Source organism: Homo sapiens, chromosome 11, assembly GCF_000001405.40.
Source record: "Homo sapiens chromosome 11, GRCh38.p14 Primary Assembly".
NCBI classification, from domain to species: Eukaryota; Metazoa; Chordata; class Mammalia; order Primates; family Hominidae; genus Homo; species Homo sapiens.
Window position 1 is genome coordinate 65,403,426 of NC_000011.10, and position 17,209 is coordinate 65,420,634.

General features: G+C 54.9%; 1 protein-coding gene across 5 annotated transcripts in view, besides 13 other annotated features; it reads left to right on the plus strand.

Annotated features, from left to right (window-relative positions):
* Window positions 1-10,100, plus strand: part of FRMD8 (FERM domain containing 8) — a 45,500-nt gene extending 35,400 nt beyond the window's left edge. For all 5 annotated transcript variants that reach the window (XM_047427684.1, XM_047427683.1, NM_031904.5 and 2 more), the window contains 2 exons: window positions 1,439-1,643; window positions 7,817-10,100. In XM_047427684.1, coding sequence (XP_047283640.1) covers window positions 1,439-1,643; window positions 7,817-7,935 — 324 coding nt within the window. In that variant the 3' untranslated portion in view covers window positions 7,936-10,100. The remainder of the gene's footprint in view (window positions 1-1,438; window positions 1,644-7,816) is intronic.
* Window positions 823-1,322: an enhancer, noted in NCBI's record as "H3K4me1 hESC enhancer chr11:65171719-65172218 (GRCh37/hg19 assembly coordinates)". NCBI's record gives its function as "activates a minimal SCP1, AML or CMV promoter by ChIP-STARR-seq in primed H9 embryonic stem cells {active_cell/tissue: H9 hESC(primed)}" and the evidence as "EXISTENCE:reporter gene assay evidence [ECO:0000049][PMID:30033119]".
* Window positions 13,959-14,008: an enhancer, noted in NCBI's record as "active region_4958". NCBI's record gives its function as "activates an Ori minimal core promoter by ATAC-STARR-seq in GM12878 lymphoblastoid cells {active_cell/tissue: GM12878}" and the evidence as "EXISTENCE:reporter gene assay evidence [ECO:0000049][PMID:35858748]".
* Window positions 14,575-15,160: an enhancer, noted in NCBI's record as "H3K27ac-H3K4me1 hESC enhancer chr11:65185471-65186056 (GRCh37/hg19 assembly coordinates)". NCBI's record gives its function as "activates a minimal SCP1, AML or CMV promoter by ChIP-STARR-seq in naive H9 embryonic stem cells {active_cell/tissue: H9 hESC(naive)}" and the evidence as "EXISTENCE:reporter gene assay evidence [ECO:0000049][PMID:30033119]".
* Window positions 14,575-16,071: a biological region, named in NCBI's record as "CRISPRi-validated cis-regulatory element chr11.3233". NCBI's record gives its function as "regulatory_interactions: ATG2A".
* Window positions 14,697-16,071: a transcriptional cis regulatory region, noted in NCBI's record as "candidate enhancer chr11.3233 targeted for multiplex CRISPR interference". NCBI's record gives its function as "positively regulates ATG2A gene expression with high confidence in K562 cells {active_cell/tissue: K562}" and the evidence as "EXISTENCE:mutant phenotype evidence [ECO:0000015][PMID:30612741]".
* Window positions 14,909-14,958: a silencer, noted in NCBI's record as "silent region_3523". NCBI's record gives its function as "represses an Ori minimal core promoter by ATAC-STARR-seq in GM12878 lymphoblastoid cells {active_cell/tissue: GM12878}" and the evidence as "EXISTENCE:reporter gene assay evidence [ECO:0000049][PMID:35858748]".
* Window positions 15,161-15,746: an enhancer, noted in NCBI's record as "H3K27ac-H3K4me1 hESC enhancer chr11:65186057-65186642 (GRCh37/hg19 assembly coordinates)". NCBI's record gives its function as "activates a minimal SCP1, AML or CMV promoter by ChIP-STARR-seq in naive H9 embryonic stem cells {active_cell/tissue: H9 hESC(naive)}" and the evidence as "EXISTENCE:reporter gene assay evidence [ECO:0000049][PMID:30033119]".
* Window positions 15,239-15,288: an enhancer, noted in NCBI's record as "active region_4959". NCBI's record gives its function as "activates an Ori minimal core promoter by ATAC-STARR-seq in GM12878 lymphoblastoid cells {active_cell/tissue: GM12878}" and the evidence as "EXISTENCE:reporter gene assay evidence [ECO:0000049][PMID:35858748]".
* Window positions 15,389-15,758: an enhancer, noted in NCBI's record as "active region_4960". NCBI's record gives its function as "activates an Ori minimal core promoter by ATAC-STARR-seq in GM12878 lymphoblastoid cells {active_cell/tissue: GM12878}" and the evidence as "EXISTENCE:reporter gene assay evidence [ECO:0000049][PMID:35858748]".
* Window positions 15,789-15,918: an enhancer, noted in NCBI's record as "active region_4961". NCBI's record gives its function as "activates an Ori minimal core promoter by ATAC-STARR-seq in GM12878 lymphoblastoid cells {active_cell/tissue: GM12878}" and the evidence as "EXISTENCE:reporter gene assay evidence [ECO:0000049][PMID:35858748]".
* Window positions 16,331-16,916: an enhancer, noted in NCBI's record as "H3K27ac-H3K4me1 hESC enhancer chr11:65187227-65187812 (GRCh37/hg19 assembly coordinates)". NCBI's record gives its function as "activates a minimal SCP1, AML or CMV promoter by ChIP-STARR-seq in naive H9 embryonic stem cells {active_cell/tissue: H9 hESC(naive)}" and the evidence as "EXISTENCE:reporter gene assay evidence [ECO:0000049][PMID:30033119]".
* Window positions 16,331-16,918: a biological region, named in NCBI's record as "H3K27ac-H3K4me1 hESC enhancer GRCh37_chr11:65187227-65187812".
* Window positions 16,869-16,918: an enhancer, noted in NCBI's record as "active region_4962". NCBI's record gives its function as "activates an Ori minimal core promoter by ATAC-STARR-seq in GM12878 lymphoblastoid cells {active_cell/tissue: GM12878}" and the evidence as "EXISTENCE:reporter gene assay evidence [ECO:0000049][PMID:35858748]".

Here is a 17,209-nt window from a genome sequence, read left to right on the forward strand (position 1 = left end):
ACCCGCCTCGGCCTCCCAAAGTGTTGGGATTACAGGCGTGAGCCACGGCACCTGGCCTGGCCTGGGACTTTCTATGTGGACAGTCGTGTGGTCTGTGAGTTGGGACAGCTGGGTCTCACTTTCCAATCTGTGTGCCTCTTGCTTGCCTTGCCTGACAGTGCTTCTGACCCCCAGTGTAGGATGGATAGGTGTGCGCAGGCGTCCCTGACGCACCTGGCCTGAGAGAGAACATTGTCTTTCACTGAATAAGTGGGATTTTGCTGTGGGTTCTTCAGAGATGCGCTTCATCAGGTTGAGGAAGTTCCTTTCTGACGCTGGCTTGCTGAGTTTTATCTTGGACAGATGTTCAGCAGAGCTTCCTCTTTTGGCTGCATTTGAACGGCAGGCTTCCTGAGCCTCAGAGGCATGTTGCTGTGCAGGAGTTTTTGTTCTAGGAAACTTAGTAGGCTTCCCTGTTATGGTTGCACTCAGGACTCTGTCCCCACCGGCTGCCGTCCCCTCGCCAGCCCACTGCCCTTTGGCTGGTGGAGTCCACTTGGTGAGGAGAGGAGTGTGGGTGGACTGAGCTGAGGGCAGGGAGCGTGGAGAGCCCACCAGGCCTCTGCTCTTCCTTCTGGGCCGAGCAGCGGTGCCCACCTGCCCAGCCCAGAGGGATTGTAGCTGCCCTGTGGAGAGGCAGGAGCCAGGCCAGTCTCCGCAGGGCCACTCCAGCATCTGACCCAGCCCCACCAGTCAGGAGCACAGGTGGCCATTCCTGTCTACTTGGCCTCATCTTATCCCAGGCCTGCAGCAGTGCTTGGCACGTGGGAGGCACTCAGGAAATACCTGTGTCCTAAGGGGTGCCACCCTTTTAACACCCTCTGCGACTCCCTCAAACCCCTGAAGGCCCTGTCCTTGGTGCCCAGCTGTGCCCGCTGGCACCCGGCTGCTGCATCTTTTCTGTCAGTGTGCCTCATGCTTCACACCTGTTGAGTAGGAGTCACTTTTGAAGAACGTGCTGGCAGGGAGCCGCCCGCCCCTGCCCTGGTGACATCGCGCCCCTTCCTCCTGGCTGCAGGTTTTCCTCCCAGCCAGCACCACCCGCCTCCCCGCCCCGCTTCCCCACTCTTCGTCCTCTCTGCAGCAGCTGGCTCCCTACCCCCTCCCTCCCCACCTGCTTCTGCCCATGGAGTCAGCCTTCCTGGGCTGTGCCTTCTGACCAGAATGTTCTTTCTTTCCCACCTGAACTCCCAGATCTGGAGACCCCTCCTCATCCACCAGGACTCACCTTCACAGTCACCCAAGTGGGACACCTCCCCTGCCTCCCTGCTCCCTCCCTCCTGAGTGATGTGTGTCCCCTCCCCTGCTTCCCCAACCAGAGAGCAGAGCTCATTTCAGGCTCAGCAACAGGCATGGAAGGGGGCCCTGGCCAGGCCTCACACTGCCCCCTCCTCCCCAGGCCGAACTGATGAGCAGTCTCATTGAGTACTGCATCGAACTGAGCCAGGCGGCGGAGCCCGCAGGCCCCCAGGACAGTGCGACTGGCTCGCCCTCGGACCCCAGCTCCTCACTGGCTCCTGTTCAGCGCCCCAAGCTGCGGAGGCAGGGCAGTGTGGTGTCCAGCCGGATCCAGCATCTCTCCACCATCGACTACGTGGAGGACGGTGAGCAGCCCTTCTGTGCATGTGCACACACAAACACGCATGCGCGTGCACACACCGGGGGGAGTTCCTGAGGACAGGGCATTGCAGAGCAGCTCCAGACCCAGTGTGAGCTGGCCTCCATCTCAGGACACAGCTGTGAGCAGGCCGAGCCCGGGCCTTGGCCATAGTGCCTTTCCTGTCCCTTCTCACTGCTGCGTCACAGACGTTCTGCAGCATTGTCCAGGATGTGATCCGGGAAACGACTCAACATCTGTTACTGAAGTGTTGGGTAGGTGGGGCGCGGTGGCTCACGCCTGTAATCCCAGCACTTTGGGAGGCCAAGGCAGGAGGATCACCTGAGGTCAGGAGTTCAAGAACAGGCTGGCCAACATGGTGAAACCCTGTCTCTACTAAAAATACAAAAAAAGTAGCGAGGTGTATGGCAGGCGCCTGTAATCCCAGCTACTCGGGAGGCTGAGGCAGGAAAAACGCTTGAACCCAGCAGGCAGAGGTTGCAGTGAGCCGAGATTGCATCATTGCATTCCAGCCTGGGAGACAGAGCAAGACTCCGTCTCAAAAATAAATAAATAAATAAATAAAGCGTTGGGTAAATCACTGCTGTGACCACATCTTGGGGTGTTGAGTGCAGCTGGTAAAAATACAGTACCCAGGCCGGGTGCAGTGTCTCACACCTGTAATCCCAGTACTTTGGGAGACCAAGACAAAGAGGATCACTTGAGCCCAGGAGCTCAAGACCAGCCTGGACAACAGAGTGAGACCCTGTCTCTACAAAATATACTTAAACTTAGCTGAGCACGGTGGTATATGCCTGTAGTCTCACCTTCTTGGGAGGCTGATGAGGCAGGAGTATCTCTGAGCCCAGGAGTTGGAGGTTTGCAGTGAGCTACGATTGTACCACTGCACTCCAGCCTGGGTGACAACGATGAGACCCTATATATATATATTTTTTTTAATTAATTAATTAGTTAACTATTTTTGAGACGGAGTCTCACTCTGTCGCCCAGGCTGGAGTACAGTGGCATGATCTCGGCTCACTGCAACCTCCGCCTCCCCAGTTCTAGTGATTCTCCTGCCTCAACCTCCCGAGTAGCTGGGACTACAGGTGTGTGCCACCACACCCGGCTAATTTTTTTTTTTTTTTTTGAGACAGAGTCTCACTCTGTCGCCCAGGCTGGAGTGCAGTGGGCGCGATCTTGGCTCACTGCAAGCTCCACCTCCTGGGTTCACGCCATTCTCCTGCCTCAGCCTCCTAAGTAGCTGGAACTACAGGCGCCCACCACCACGCCCGGCTACTTTTTTGTATTTGTAGTAGAGACGGGGTTTCACCGTGTTAGCCAGGATGGTCTCGATCTCCTGACCTTGTGGTCCATCCGCCTTGGCCTCCCAAAGTGCTGGGATTACAGGTGTGAGCCACTGCACCCGGCCCTAATTTTTTGTTTTTAGTAGAGATGGGGTTTCACCGTGTTAGCCAGGATGGTCTCAATTTCCTGTCCTCGTGATCCACCTGCCTTGGCCTCCCAAAGTGCTGGGATTACAGGCGTGAAACATCACACCAAGCCCGAGACCCTGTTTTTAAAAAGGAATACCCTGGCCGGGCGCAGTGGCTCACGCCTGTAATCCTAGCACATTGGGAGACCAAGGCGGGTGGATCACCTGAGGTCGGGAGTTCGAGACCAGTCTGACCAACATGGAGAAAACTCTTCTCTACTAAAAATACAAAATTAGCTGGATGTGGTGGTGGTCGCCTGTAGTCCCAGCTACTTGGGAGGCTGAAAGCAGGAGAATCGCTTGTACCCAGGAGGTGGAGGTTGCAGTGAGCCAAAATCACGCCACTGCACTCCAGCCTGGGCAACAAGAACGAAACTCCGTCTCAAATAAATAAATAAATAAATAAATAATAAAAAGGAATACCCTAAATGCATCTTGTGTCAGATCCTGGAAGAGAGGACATTTGTGGAAAAACTATTGAAGTCCAAAAGAATTTTAGTTAACAGATACTGTGTCAGTGTTCATTCCTTAGCTCTGATGTGGTGACAGAACATGCTGTCATCGGGAGAAGTTGTGGCGGTATTCTGGAACTCTCTACACCTTTACAGCTTTCCTAGAAATCTAGAATTATTCCATGATAAAAAGTTTTTTAATGCAGTAACAAAGATCTACATTTATTTATTTATTTATTTATTTATTTATTTATTTATTTAGAGACAGAGTCTCGCTCTGTCACCCAGGCTGGAGTGCAATGGTGTGATCTTGGCTCACTGCAACCTCCGCACCCTGGGTTCAAGCGATTCTCCTGCCTCAGCCTCCCTAGTAGCTGGGATTACAGGGGTGAGCTACCACGCCCAACTAAGTTTTGTATATTTAGTAGAGACGGGGTTTCGCCATGTTGGCCAGGCTGGTCTCAAACTCCTGACCTCAAGTGATCTGCTCACCTTGGACTACCAAAGTGCTGGGATTACAGTGTGAGCCACCGCACCCGGCCAGAGATCTACATTTTACATGGCAAGATGTTCACAAAATAATATTCAGTAAAAAGAAATGGCCAGGCGTGGTGGCTCACGCCTGTAATCCCAGCACTTTGGGAGGCCAAGGTGGGCAGATCACGAGGTCAGGAGATCGAGACCATCCTGGCTAACAGGTGAAACCCTGTCTCTACTAAAAATACAAAAAGAAAAAAAATTAGCCAGACGTGGTGGTGGGTGCCTGTAGTCCCAGCTACTCGGGAGAATGGCGTGAACCTGGGAGGCGGAGCTTGCAGTGAGCGGAGATCGCGCCACTGCACTCCAGCCTGGGCGACAGAGCGAGACTCTGTCTCAAAAAAAAAAAAAAAAGGAAATGAGTAACAGGACAGCATGTGTGCAGCCATGCGCATGAGGAGGGCGGGCCCAGCTGTGGCCGTCAGCGGCTGTAGCTTTGACTTTTTCTTTGTACTTCTTGGAGCACGTAAATCTGTTACAATGAACATGTCATTTTTATAGTCTTGTAATTTTTAGAATAATTGTTTTTTCTTTTTTTTTTTTTTGGAGACGGAGTTTCACTCTTGTTGCCCAGGCTGGAGTGAAATGGTGCGATATCGGCTCACCGCAACCTCCACCTCCCGGGTTCAAGCGATTCTCCTGCCTCAGGCTCCCAAGTATCTGGGATTACAGGCTTGCACCACCACGCCCAGCTAATTTTGTATTTTTAGTAGAGACGGAGTTTCTCCATGTTGGTCAGGCTGGTCTCCAACTCCCGACCTCAGGTGATCCGCCCGCCTTGGCCTCCCAAAGTGCTGGGATTACAGTCGTGAGCCACCGCGCCCAGCCCTAGAATAAGTTTTATAATCAGAAAAAGCAAACTTTTTCTACAATGTAATTTGGACCACTGTGTGGCATTCCTTGGCATGGTTTTAGCACGCTCATTTTGACCCAGTCCTCTGCTTGTGGGCATTACAGTTTTCAGCGTTCAGCTCTTCTAAACAGCACACCTACAGGAAAGTCCTTCCTTAGAATCTGAAATGTTTCCTCAGGATACTTTCCTAGAAATGGCCTTGCTAATGTAAAAGTGTGCAGATTTTTTTTTTTAAATAGGATTTCACTCTAGTGCCTAGACTGGAGTGCAATGGCCTAGTCAAGGCTCACTGCAGCCTCAACCTCCCGTGCTCAAGCAGTCCTTCTGCAGTCTCCTGAGTAGGTGGGACTAAGGTCATGAGCCACCACTCCTGGCTAATTTTTAAATTCTTTGTCAAGGCAGCGTCTCACTATGTTGCCCAGGCTGGTCTCAAAACTCCTGGGATCAAATGATCCTCCCACCTCAGCCTCCCAAAGTGCTGGGATTACAGATGTGAGCACCGTGCCTGGCCGATATGCTGATTTTGAAGAGGCTTTTCATACCTGCCACCTTCCAGAGAAGTTGTGCCCAGGTGTACCCTCCCCAGCAGAGAAGATGGTGTCTGCCTCCCATGCCCTCACCCACAATGGGTGTAATCATTCCGAGCCAAAGGGAACTTGTCTGGGCTGGTGTTTGAACACAATGAGATTGGAAATTTTTTTTTTTTTGAGACAGTCTTGCTCTGTTGCCCAGGCTGGAGTGCAATGGCATGATCTCAGCTCACTGCAACCTCTGCCTCCCGGGTTCAAGTGATTCTCCCTGCCTCAGCCTCGCAAGTAGCTGGGATTGCAGGCGCCCACCACCATGCCCGATCAATTTTTGTATCTTTAGTAGAGACAGGGTTTCGCCATGTTGGCCAGGCTGGTCTCGAACTCCTGACCTCAGGTGATCTGTCCGCCTCAGCCTCCTGAAGTGCTAGGATTACAGGAATAAGCCACCGTGCCCGGCCGATTGCAAATTTTTACGTGCTTGATCATATTTAGATTTCCTTCCTGAATTACTGATGATTTCTTTTGCTCATTTTTCTTCTGTTGCTTGACTTTTTAAAATTAACAATCTGGCCAGGTGAGATGGCTGTAATCCCAACACTTTGGGAGGCCGAGGCAGGCAGATTGCTTGAGTCCAGGAGTCCAAGACCAGCCTGCGCAACATAGCAAGACCGCATCTCTATTTAAAAGATTAGCAGGGCATGGTGGCTCACGCCTGAAGTCCCAGCTAGTTGGGAGGCTGAGATGGGAGGATCACCTGAGCCCAGAGGGTTACGGCTTCAGTGAGTTAGGATCACAACACTGCAGTCCAGCCTGGGTGACAGAGTGAGACCCTGTCGCAAAAAAAAAAAAAGAAAAAGAAAAATTTATTAACGTCTTGGCTAGGCTCACACCTGTAATCTCAGTACTTTGGGAGACAGAGGCAGGAGGCTCACCTGAGGCCAGGAGTTCGAGATCAGCCTGGGCAATCGAGCAAGACCCTGTCTCTACACAAACTAAAAAAACCTTAGCCATGGCTCACACCTGTAGTCCCAGCTATTGGGGATGCTGAAGTGGGAGGATCACCTAGGCTTAGGAGGTAAGGCTGCAGTGAGCCGTGATTGTAACACTGCACTCCAGCCTGAGCAACACAGCTTGTCTCAAAAAAAAAACCACAAAGGCGGGACATGGTGGCTCACACCTGTAATCCCAGCACTTTGGGAGGTCAAGGCAGGTGGATCACGAAGTCAGGAGTTTGAGACTAGCCTGGCCAACGTGGTGAAACCTGTCTCTACCAAAAATACAAAAATTAGCCAGGCACAGTGGCCCACGCCTGTAATCCCAGCACTTTTGGAGGCCAAGATGGGTGGATCATGAGGTCAAGAGATCGAGACCATCCTGGCCAGCATGGTGAAACCCCGTCTCTACTAAAAATACAAAAATTAGTGTGCGTGGTGGCGCACACCTGTAGTCCCAGCTACTCAGGAGGCTGAGGCAGGAGAATTGCTTGAACCCAGGAGGTGGAGGTTGCAGTGAGCCAAGATCGTGCCATTGCACTGCGGCCTGGGTGACAGAGCAAGACTCCATCTCAAAACAAAACAAAAGGCCGGGCGCAGTGGCTCACGCCTGTAATCCCAGCACTTTGGGAGGCCGAGGCAGGCAGATCACGAGGTCAGGAGATCGAGACCATCTTGGCTAACACGGTGAAACCCCGTCTCTACTAAAAATACAAAAAATTAGCTGGGCGCCGTGGCGGGCGCCTGTAGTCCCAGCTTCTCAGGAGGCTGAGGTAGGAGAATGGTGTGAACCTGGGAGGCAGAGCTTGCAGTGAGCCGAGATAGTGCCACTGCACTCCAGCCTGGGCGACAGAGCGAGACTCCGTCTCAAAACAAACAAAAAAAAACAAACCCAAAAAAAACCAAAAACTAACATCTTACAGCAATATGGTACTTTTGTTTTAATTAATGACCCGGTATTGCCATTATTAGCCAAAGTGCCTACCTTAGTCAGATTTCCATAGTGTTTTCCAGACATCCCTCTGTGCCAGGATCCCACCAGGACCCCACACTGCATTTAGTTGTCACGTCTCCCCAGGCTTCTCTTGGCTATGAAGGACCCTCCTTGTCTGTGATGACCTTAGGTCGGCAGTGTTAGGGAGCGCTGCTTGGGGTATACTGTAGCATGCTGAGCGGGGCTGAGGCTCGGATGAGGGGAGCTCAGTCTGACCAGGCTCTGGAAGGAGCCGTCGCGCTGGAGCCAGAACCTGGCTTCCTGGGCCTGAGCCCCCTCACACAGGGACAGCGCCTCTGCTCAGTGTGCCCTCCCATTCCCTCGCAGGCAAGGGGATCAGGCGAGTGAAGCCGAAGCGCACCACATCCTTCTTCAGCCGGCAGCTGTCCTTGGGCCAGGGGAGCTACACCGTGGTGCAGCCCGGCGACAGCCTGGAGCAGGGCTGAGGACGCTGCACCCGGCAGGAGGAGGGCGACTGGGGGCCCTGGCCCGGCACTGTCCTCCTGAGGGGCAGGCGCCGGCTGCAACAGTCTCATGGGTCACCACGTGGGGAGGGCTGCCTCAGCAGGTTTCTCAGACCACGGAGAAGTGACTTTTGGGCCCGGGGCCATGCCCGGGCTGTGCAAAGCTGGCCAGGGCCTCCTGTAGGGCTCCTCTGCAGCCTGCCCTCCCTTCCCCCGGATGCTGGGCCCTGCTGCTCTCTCAGGACCATCCGATCAAGCTGCAGCTGCCACCCTCACCTAGAAACATGCCTTTGTGCCCACCTCAAGATGGGCAGTGTCCCTGTTCTGAAGTGCCCAGTGGCAGCTCCAGTGGTAGAGGACCAAGGATTGAGGTTTGGGACCTGAAGCTCCAGTGTGTGCCTTTGGCCTCTTCCCTGGACTTGGGTGACCAGTCTCCGTCTTCCTCCTGCTAGTGCTCCACCCCCCGGACTTGGATGACCAGTTTCCCACCTTCCTCCTGCTGGTGCTCCATCCCCCAATACCAGGCTGGGCCACCACTCTGAGGAGGGTAGGAGGGGCCTCCCTGGATTGAACCGGGACAGAAACACGGTGAGGGCCCCCACCACACCTCCCTGGTTGAATCAGGAATGGAGGGAGCCAGGCAGGGCCCTACCTGGGGTCCTGTGCCCCTCGTTCTGGTCTCCTTTGCAGGCACGAGATACCAGAAAGAGCATGCCTTTCTGATAGCCTTTGGTGATGTCACTGCTGGGAGGTGGCTATCCTGTGGACCACCTGGCCTCCAGACCCACACTCACAGTCTGTGAAAAACTGAAAATCCCCTGGTGGGCACTCCCTGGAGCCCAAGCAGCTCCCCTAGGGGACTGACCGGACCTGACCTCCCCTCCCTGTGTCTGGGTCTTCAGGTTTTAGTTTGGTCTTTGTTCATCTGAGTTGTGCTGGGGCAACGCCAGGAAGTGCCCTGGGTACCTCTGCTGTGCGCTCCTTCCCAGGTGGCGCCATGGATTCCTCTGGGGGCTGGCGCATGCCCAGGAAAGCCTGGGCCACACGGGACACTCTCTTCTTTATCGAGGACACTTGGAAAGGTGACTGATATGGGTGCTTGGCTTCTCTGGTCCCAGCTTGCCCTCCGGGGAGCAGGGGCTCTGTCTTGTCCCAGATGAGCTGAGAGCCCCTGAGAGGAGGGCTTTCCCAGCCCTGGGACCCTCCGAGGTGGGTGTGCGGGTCTCACAGGTGCTTCCTGGGACTTCCTGTGGCTGCACAGGGCTTGGCTTTGTCTTCGTTCCCGGTGGAAAACCGTGGGAGAGGAAGCTTGGGCCTCTACTCCAAGTATCAGAGCCTGTTCACCCTCCTCCCTTTGGTAGCTTGTGAATGTGCCAGGTGTTTCGAGGTAGGCTTGCCTTCTGGCAGCATGGACTTTGTTAAAATAATAGGCGGAAAGAAGAGGCCTGGGAAGGGCCCCCAGTCTTTTGGAATGTCCTGGTCACAGGGTCATGTCAGCTGCCAGTTCTCGTCTCCCGTCCTGGAGTTGCTCGGTCTTGCGGAGCTGCCCGCCTGCCTGTTCTGGCGGCTCCAGCGCAGGCTGTCCCTGCTGCTTTGATTCCAGGTGATTTTATTTTTTTTATTTTTTTATTTTTTTTGAGACGGAGTCTTGCTCTGTTGCCCAGGCAGGAGTGCAGTGGCGCATCTCGGCTCACTGCAACCTCTGTCTCAAGCGATTCTCCTGCCTCAGCCTCCTGAGTAGCTGGGATTACAGGTGCATGCCACCAGGCCCCGCTGATTTTTGTATTTTTAGTAGAGATAGGGTTTCACCATGTTGGTCAGGCTGGTCGTGAACTCCTGACCTCATGATCTGCCCGCCTCAACCTCCCAAAGTGCTGGGATTATAGGCGTGAGCCACCGCCCCCAGCTGATTCCAGGCGAATTCTTCTCTGATGGGCGGGCGAGGGTGTGTTCGTGTGATGGGTTGGAGTGTGTGTGTCTGAGTACACAGATGATGTGTTTTCCCTTCAGCTTCTTACGTTTTCTGAGCATCCATTGTGCCTTAACATTTTCTGCTTGTCCTTTGGGACAAAGCAGTATTTTACTCATTCTTTGAATGTTCTCATTCTTTTGTATCATGTGACTTATTAAAATCAGTTTCTAACAAACTCTGGGGCAGCTCATGATATGAAATAATGAGGGTGTGTCCGTGACAGTCCAAGAGTTGATTACAGGCTGCATGTTTGGTTTTCATGAAACGTACGTCAAGGTGTGCAGCCCTCAGGCCAGCCAGGTTGATGCCCACGGAGCACCCGAGTGAAGCTGTCTCATCTTGGCGGCTTGTACTCCCAGCCCCACGTTGCCCAGGAGGGGCTCTGGGGTTCCTGTGGGGACCAAGGTGGGTAACTGCAGATGCTCATGCCCTTCCTGAGGGCACCTCATGCTCCAGGCCTGGCAGGAGGCCGTTTGTTTCCCACAGATCCTGCTGTCAACACCTACCTGGGAGGGAAGGGACAGTAGCAGACCCCTGGAGGACTCTGAGCCCTGCAGCAGCCACCCAGGACCTGGGCCTGCAGGATGAGCGCCACTGGGGGATTGGGGTTCACAATGTTTCCAGAGATGGGAGGAGTAAGCCACCTGTCCCTGTGGCAGCGTAGTCCTGGGAACAGGGCCGTCTCCTTGGGTGTCCATGACAGTGAGTGGCACCTTGTCCTCTGTGTGATCATCTTTGCCTGGCAAGGCAGCACAATGCCATGACCATGGGCACCTGTGACCTTTCGTGGGAATAACAGTGCCCAGGCCAGGCACAGTGGCTTGCTACTGTAATCCCAGCACTTTGGGAGGCCAAGGCGGGAGGGTCACTTGAGCCTAGCCTGGGCAACATGGCGAAACCCCATTGCTACAAAAACAAAAAAAATTAGCCAGGCATGGTGGCACAAGCCTGTCGTGCCCAGCTGCTTGGGAAGCTGAGACTAGAGGATCGCCTGGGCCCAGGAGGTCGAGGATACAGCGAGCTGTGTTCACACCACTGTGCACTCCAGCCTGGGCAACAGAGCAAGACCCTGTCTCGAAAAAAAAAAAAAAATTCCGAAAAAACAACTCACTTCGGCCAGGTGCAGTGGCTCACGCCTGTAAACCCAGCACTTTGGGAGGCCAAGGCGGGCGGATAACCTGAGGTCGGGAGTTTGAGACCAGCCTGACCAACGTGGAGAAGCCCTGTCTCTACTAAAAATACAATATTAGCTAGGCATGGTGGCGCATGCGTGTAATCCCAGCTACTGGGGAGGCTGAGGCAGGAGAATCGCTTGAACCCGGGAGGCGGAGGTTGCAGTGAGCCGAGATCGTGCCATTGCACTCCAGCCTGGGTGACAGAGCAAAACTCTGTCTCAAAAAAAAAAAAAAAGTAAACTGATTGTCTCACAGTTCTGGGGGCTACAAGTCCAAAATCCAGGTTTCAGCTCAGCAGGGCCGTGCTCCCTCTGCAACCCATAGGAGAGGCCTTCCTTGCCTGCTCCTAGCTTCTGGTGCCTTGCTGGCCGTTCAGGCATTCATTGGCTTGCGGCTGCACAGCCAGTCTCTGCCTATGTGGTCATCTGGCATCTTCCTTAGTGTCTGTGTCTTCACATGGCTGTGTTCTTACAAAGACACCAGTCAGATTAGACTAGGGGCCCACCCTACTCCACCATGAGCTCATCTTAACTAATAACACCTGCAATGATCCTGTTCCCACATCATGTCACATTCTGATGCACTGAGGGTTAGGACTTCGACATATCCTTTTGGGGGAACACGATTTAACCCTTACCACTACCCTACAGATGATTGTCTTGGACTTCTTTGGGGTTCTTTAATGCCGGAACAGCTGTTATTTTCAAATCCTAGCTACGCTTGGGTTGCACGGGGCAGCAGGAGTGACTTTGCCACCTGCCAGCCTGGCACGCACAGCCTGGCTCAGCCAGCACCTGGATCCAGAGGCCTGAAGACCTGAAGAGGCTCTGCCCAGACTGCCCCTGAGGACAGTGCAGTGGGACGAGGTCTTCACAGTCCCCAGTCCCCAGACTCTCCCTAACTCTTCAGAATGCAGGAAGCAGAGGTGACCAGAACAGTCAACACATGCGATCCTACTGTCCCTTCTGAGGCTGGGGTTTCCAGGTCATTCTCCACTTACAGCAGCAGCTGGGGCATTCCTGCGGGCTTCCCAACCCGGGGCTAGCTGGACACAGGAGGCTCCAGCCACAACCAGAGCCCAGCAAGAGGCTTGCGCAGACCCACAGCTGAGGCTTCATGTGGCCAGCCCCCAGCCAAGTGGCAGTGCATGGAGAGACACACGGGAGGCCAGAGGTGCTGCTGGGACTCAGAAAAGCCACAGCGACCAAGGCGACCCAGGACGCTGTCATGCTCAGTCTGAAAAAACAGTGGTGCAAGGGGCACAGATAAAGCTGGGAAGGAGAGGGCTGGGGTGGATGTGCCAGGGGCCTCTGACACTTGTCAGGGAGCAGGAGTTCCAACTGCTCCCCGCACACAGGGTTGCAGGATTAGCAACAGAGTTACCCATGGAGACATCAGCTCAGAGTCCAGGCAGCTTTTCAGATGACACCGGGGATAAGAACATAAAGACCAGGAAAATGGGTCACTTTGCACACACATGATGCCCCAACAGATGTGCAGGCCACCACCCAACACAAAGACAGACAATAGACTGGGAGGGGGAGCAGTGATCAAACAAGGCTTCCTGGAGGAGGGGGCCTGACAGGCTCAGTAGGATACAGGTAAATGCAGCAAAGAGAGAGGGCATGGGATGGAGCAGGGACAGTCAACCAAAGCCTGTGACTTTGAGCCTAAGGGACACTGACAGTGCTGACCCAAAGGAGGTGCAGGCCTCGGGACAGATTCTCATCGCTCATTCTTCTCCTTTGTGCAGAGGACTTTTAGAGCTACCTGGCATTTTTCTCCCTGTCCAAATCCACCCCACATTTCAAAGAAAGTAGGCAGACTACCCAACTTCACCCAGAATGGGGGTGCAGGGCTGGGCCTGGGTCTGAGGACTTCAGTTTTAAGCAGCAAGTCCAGTGCCGTGTGGTGGCCCGGCTCCTCTCGCCCCCACTGGGCGGACAGCGTGGGTGGGGCGGAGCCTACTCCCATCTGCAGGTTGCTGGTTCGGCTGCGGCCAGCAGGGGGCAGCTGAGCTCACCCTTTCCTCCTGCCGGGCTGCAGGGACAGTGACAGTGAGCAGCACTGCCCGCCCAGGCAACCTGGAACCAGGGTCGTGCCCCACGACAGAATCTCGGGGGCCTTGGGTCTGGCGCTGCGGGCTCACCCGCTCTCAGAGTGGGAGTCCTGGCTCCTGACTGCCCTGACCTTCTTCCTGCCACTGGGCCCATGATGGGGGTCCCCAACTTTCAAGAACACAGGGTAAGGGGTTTGTTTCCCTGGTGGTGGGCGGGGGCATTCCTCAGCTTCGTGATGGGTCCTGAGTTTTCCAAAGGTCAGGATCCATGTCCTGGAAACGGATTCTGCTGTAGATGTGTGCTTTTCTGTGAAATGACAGCTTAGTAAAAATACTTAAACTGGGGCTATTTGGAGACATCTAAGAGGTGGAGTGAGCACAACCTGGCACTAGTCGCCTCCCTCCTGAGGCAGTTGACTGTCCGGCCTCTGCCCCTGGGCCCTTCCTCCTTCCCAGCTGCCCTGAGCCCTCTTCCAGCACCTCCTGTCCCCACCTCACACACTAAGTCTTCCTGCTATTTTTAACTATTTGACATAATTTGCAAAAGAGAGAATAATAGTCCCAGCTCTTCCCAAGGACTTCTTTGTCCGGTGCCCATCTGACCTTGGCACTTTGTTGTGGGGGTGGCAGTGACCCTGACAAGTTCTCCCAGCCAGCGAGAGCACAGGCCTCCCATACAGTATCGTCAAGGTCAGCAGCCTCCCGGGCAGGGGGGTTCTACTCCCCGCAGAAGCCCTGGCACCATGGCCAACTTGCTCACAGAGGGCACTCAGTCAGACCAAGGTGGGTTGGGGCAGAAAAGGCTCCTTCAGAGATTCAAGGACAGTCACAACTGGTGCTGTGATGGGGCCACCGGGACAAGCACAGTGCAGGCCATTCCCATCAGCAGGGACCCAAGAGGAAGTGGTAGGCTCTGGCAGTGGGGGCGGCTGGCGGTCCTGAAGACAGAGGGCTTTGCAAACCTAGGGGTGGAGGTAGTGGGATGTCAGCACCTGGGCTCCCTGCTCAGAGGAGCTGGCGCCAGGATTCCCAGTGGGTGGGCTTGGGGAGGAGGCTGGAAAGGTTAGCACAGGCGAAAGTGTGGGGCCTAGGAAAGCTGGGCTCGCTTATTTGGCCAAGGAGGGTGGGGAGGGTTGGAGGAGGTCTAGGGGCCGCTGGAGGTGCAGGGCAGCCCGGGGAGGCAGGGCTATGGGGCCCAGCCACGCATTCCACAGGCCTTCTCTCTGCGGGAACAGGAGTGAGGACACAGGCGCTCAGCGTGGCAGGGTGGGAACAGGAAGGTCTCGTGAGCTCTGTGACAGGATGGGGCTACAGGAGACAGAGGTAGCAGTGAGCTGGTGAAGAGGCAGGAGGAGGCAAGGAGGACAGGGTGTTCTAGGGTGCCAGCTCAGGCAAGGCTCCAAGGAGTGGGTGAGTGCTCAGGAGGACGGGGGACCAAGGCCTGGGGTAAGGGGCAGGTGCCCAGGCACTCTAGCATGGCACGGAACAGGGGACAGTCCCAGGACATCCGGATGCAGGGGGCTGACACCGCAAAGTTCTTTCCTGTAAAGCACAGCCCGAGGCCTGGGGCTTGGCCCTGGGCAGAGGAAGCCCCCCTTAGATCTGCCTTGGCAGTAGTGAGGAAAGGGCGTGCACAGACCCCACGCAGCCCGAGGTGACGGGTCAAATGCAAGAGTGAGAAGCCCCCTCCTGAGGGTCCTCCCCTGCCTCGCCTTCCTGGTGGGCGGCCTGCTTTCCAGCACATGTGGTGGACCAGCCCACATTAGGTCAAAGTGTTAAAAATAGCCGGAGGGCTCAGTATGTTTGGGGGTGGGGGGGGAATGGGAGGTGCTGAGGGAGGGCCCAGGACAGTTGGGAAGGAGGAAGGGCCCGTGGGGCTGGGGTTGGGACAGTCGGCTCCTGTAGGTGCAGCAGCCCTGGGGCATGCTCACCTCACCTCACCTCAGCTTTGTAAACCAGGGCCATGGGAGACCCCCTCCCTCTGATGCCCTCTCCCTCAAATGCCTTTGCCAACGTGTGGCTGAGAGTGCACCCCAGTTCCCCTTGGCCACCCCAGGCAGTCCCAGTCCACTGAGAGCAGCCGCTGTCCTTCTTCCCTCTCCTGCCTCCTGACCTGGGACCCCACAGAGCTGGGCCTGTCATCACATTTATGGGGCTGCAGCTGACCTGGGAACTCCCTTCCTCAGTCAGTCCACAAATATTTACCCAGAGCCTCAGGGTGCTCAGTGACCTTTACAAAACAAAGTGCAGAGTCACGTGCCAGGGCACAGCAATCCCGGGCAAAACAGACCGAAACCCCTCCCTCGAGGAGATCAAGTTGGGGCGGCGCTTTAGAGTTGTGGTCAGGAGGCTGGCTGAGTGGTGACCTTAGGGCAGAGGCCTGAAGGAGCAGTGGAAGTGGACTAGGCAGCAACTAGGTGAAGAGTGTTCCAGGAAACACTACACTGTCAGAATCAAGAGATGTTAGGGCCGAGAGGAGCCTCAAAATGGGGGAAGCAAGGCTGGGAGGGGTGGCCTACCCTGGTCACATGAGAGGTGGGGGCAGAGCAGGCCGGAGCCTCACAGGAAGAGGCCGGTTAGAGTTGGGGGTGGGGCCCAGCTTGTGTTTCCTGCACTGGCTGCGAGGCGTGAAAGGCGGGCTCCCGGCCAGCACACAGTGACAGTGCAGTTTCCAGACCCAGGCCCTGAGCTGAGGGGCCTCAGGGCTCAGAAAGGGCCTAGGCCTCAGATCTCTGGTGAGCGGGGAGCCCAAAATGGCCCTGGAGGCCACAGCTCCAGAACTAGACCCGTGGAGAATGGAGGGCTGGGGCCCTGCACATTCTCAAGCAGTAGTAGCAACACTGTCATTGTCCTGCCCTTGGTATAAGCCTGAAGAACCACCCTTTCTTACCCGGCTTCTGCTCCCCTTTTCCAGGGGCTCCTGTGGGAAATCCCGGGTACTTCCTGGGACTGGTCTGTCTATATGTTTGGAAACCACAGAGCTGACCTGGCTTCAGAACAAGATGTGGGGCTCCAGGCACCCGGGAGACCAGTGACCCTGATTGGCAATAGCCGCAAGAAAGGGCTTGGAGACAGGGGCCAGGCGCGGTGGCTACCCCTGTAATCGCAGCACTTTGGGAGGTCAAGGCAGGTGGATCACTTGAGGTCAGGAGTTGGAGACCAGCCTGGCCAATGTGGTAAAACCCTGTCTCTACTAAAAATACAAAAAAAAAAAAAAAAAATTAGCCAATGTGGTGGTGTAAGCCTATAGTCCCAGCTACTCGGGAGGCTGAGGCAGGAAAATCACTTGAACCCAGGAGGGAGGGTGCAGTGAGCAGAGATCACACCACTGCACTCCAGCCTGGGCAACAGAGTGAGACTCCATCAAAAAAAAAAAGAAAAGAAAGAAAGGGCTTGGAGACAGGGCCCTAACCCTGGAATCCAGATGTTGCCAAAGCAGCCCCCTCCTGTTCCTCTGTCTGCCTGGGAAGAAGCAGGAGTTGGCCACCCACACAGGCAGGGCGGGCCCTTCACCACCCAGCTCCACCCCGGAATCCAAGGGCCTCTGTTTGCTGCTGTTTTCTGGAACAACTTGTTTTGATCTAGAGAAATCTGCTGACACCGGCCTTCCTGCTCTCACCCTCCAGCTGGGCAGAGGTATTTTTAGACTTATTTGTAGAGGAAGAGAGCAGAACCCAGGCCCAATGTGTACCCTCCTTACTGTGGGCACAGCTTTGGCCCCTTAAGGCAGGACAGAGATATCCATGTGGTTGTCTACCCTCAGCTCATCTCTCCTTAAATACATTCCTTTCCCGAGAAAAACGAGCTGTGTGGAACTTGGAGGCCAGCAAAGCTTCTACATAAGGACCCTCTGAAACAGTGCCCTTTTGTCCTTGAAAACCCAGGGTGGCAAAGGCAGCTCCAGATACAAGGGCACAAAGGAGACTTGGTTCCCTTTGTGACAGGGAAGCCTATGCTTTACAGAATCCTATGTTTTGTATGTCAGTAATTGTCCCTACTTAAAAAAAAATCTATATATATATATGTATTAGAAAGGGTCTCACTCTTGTT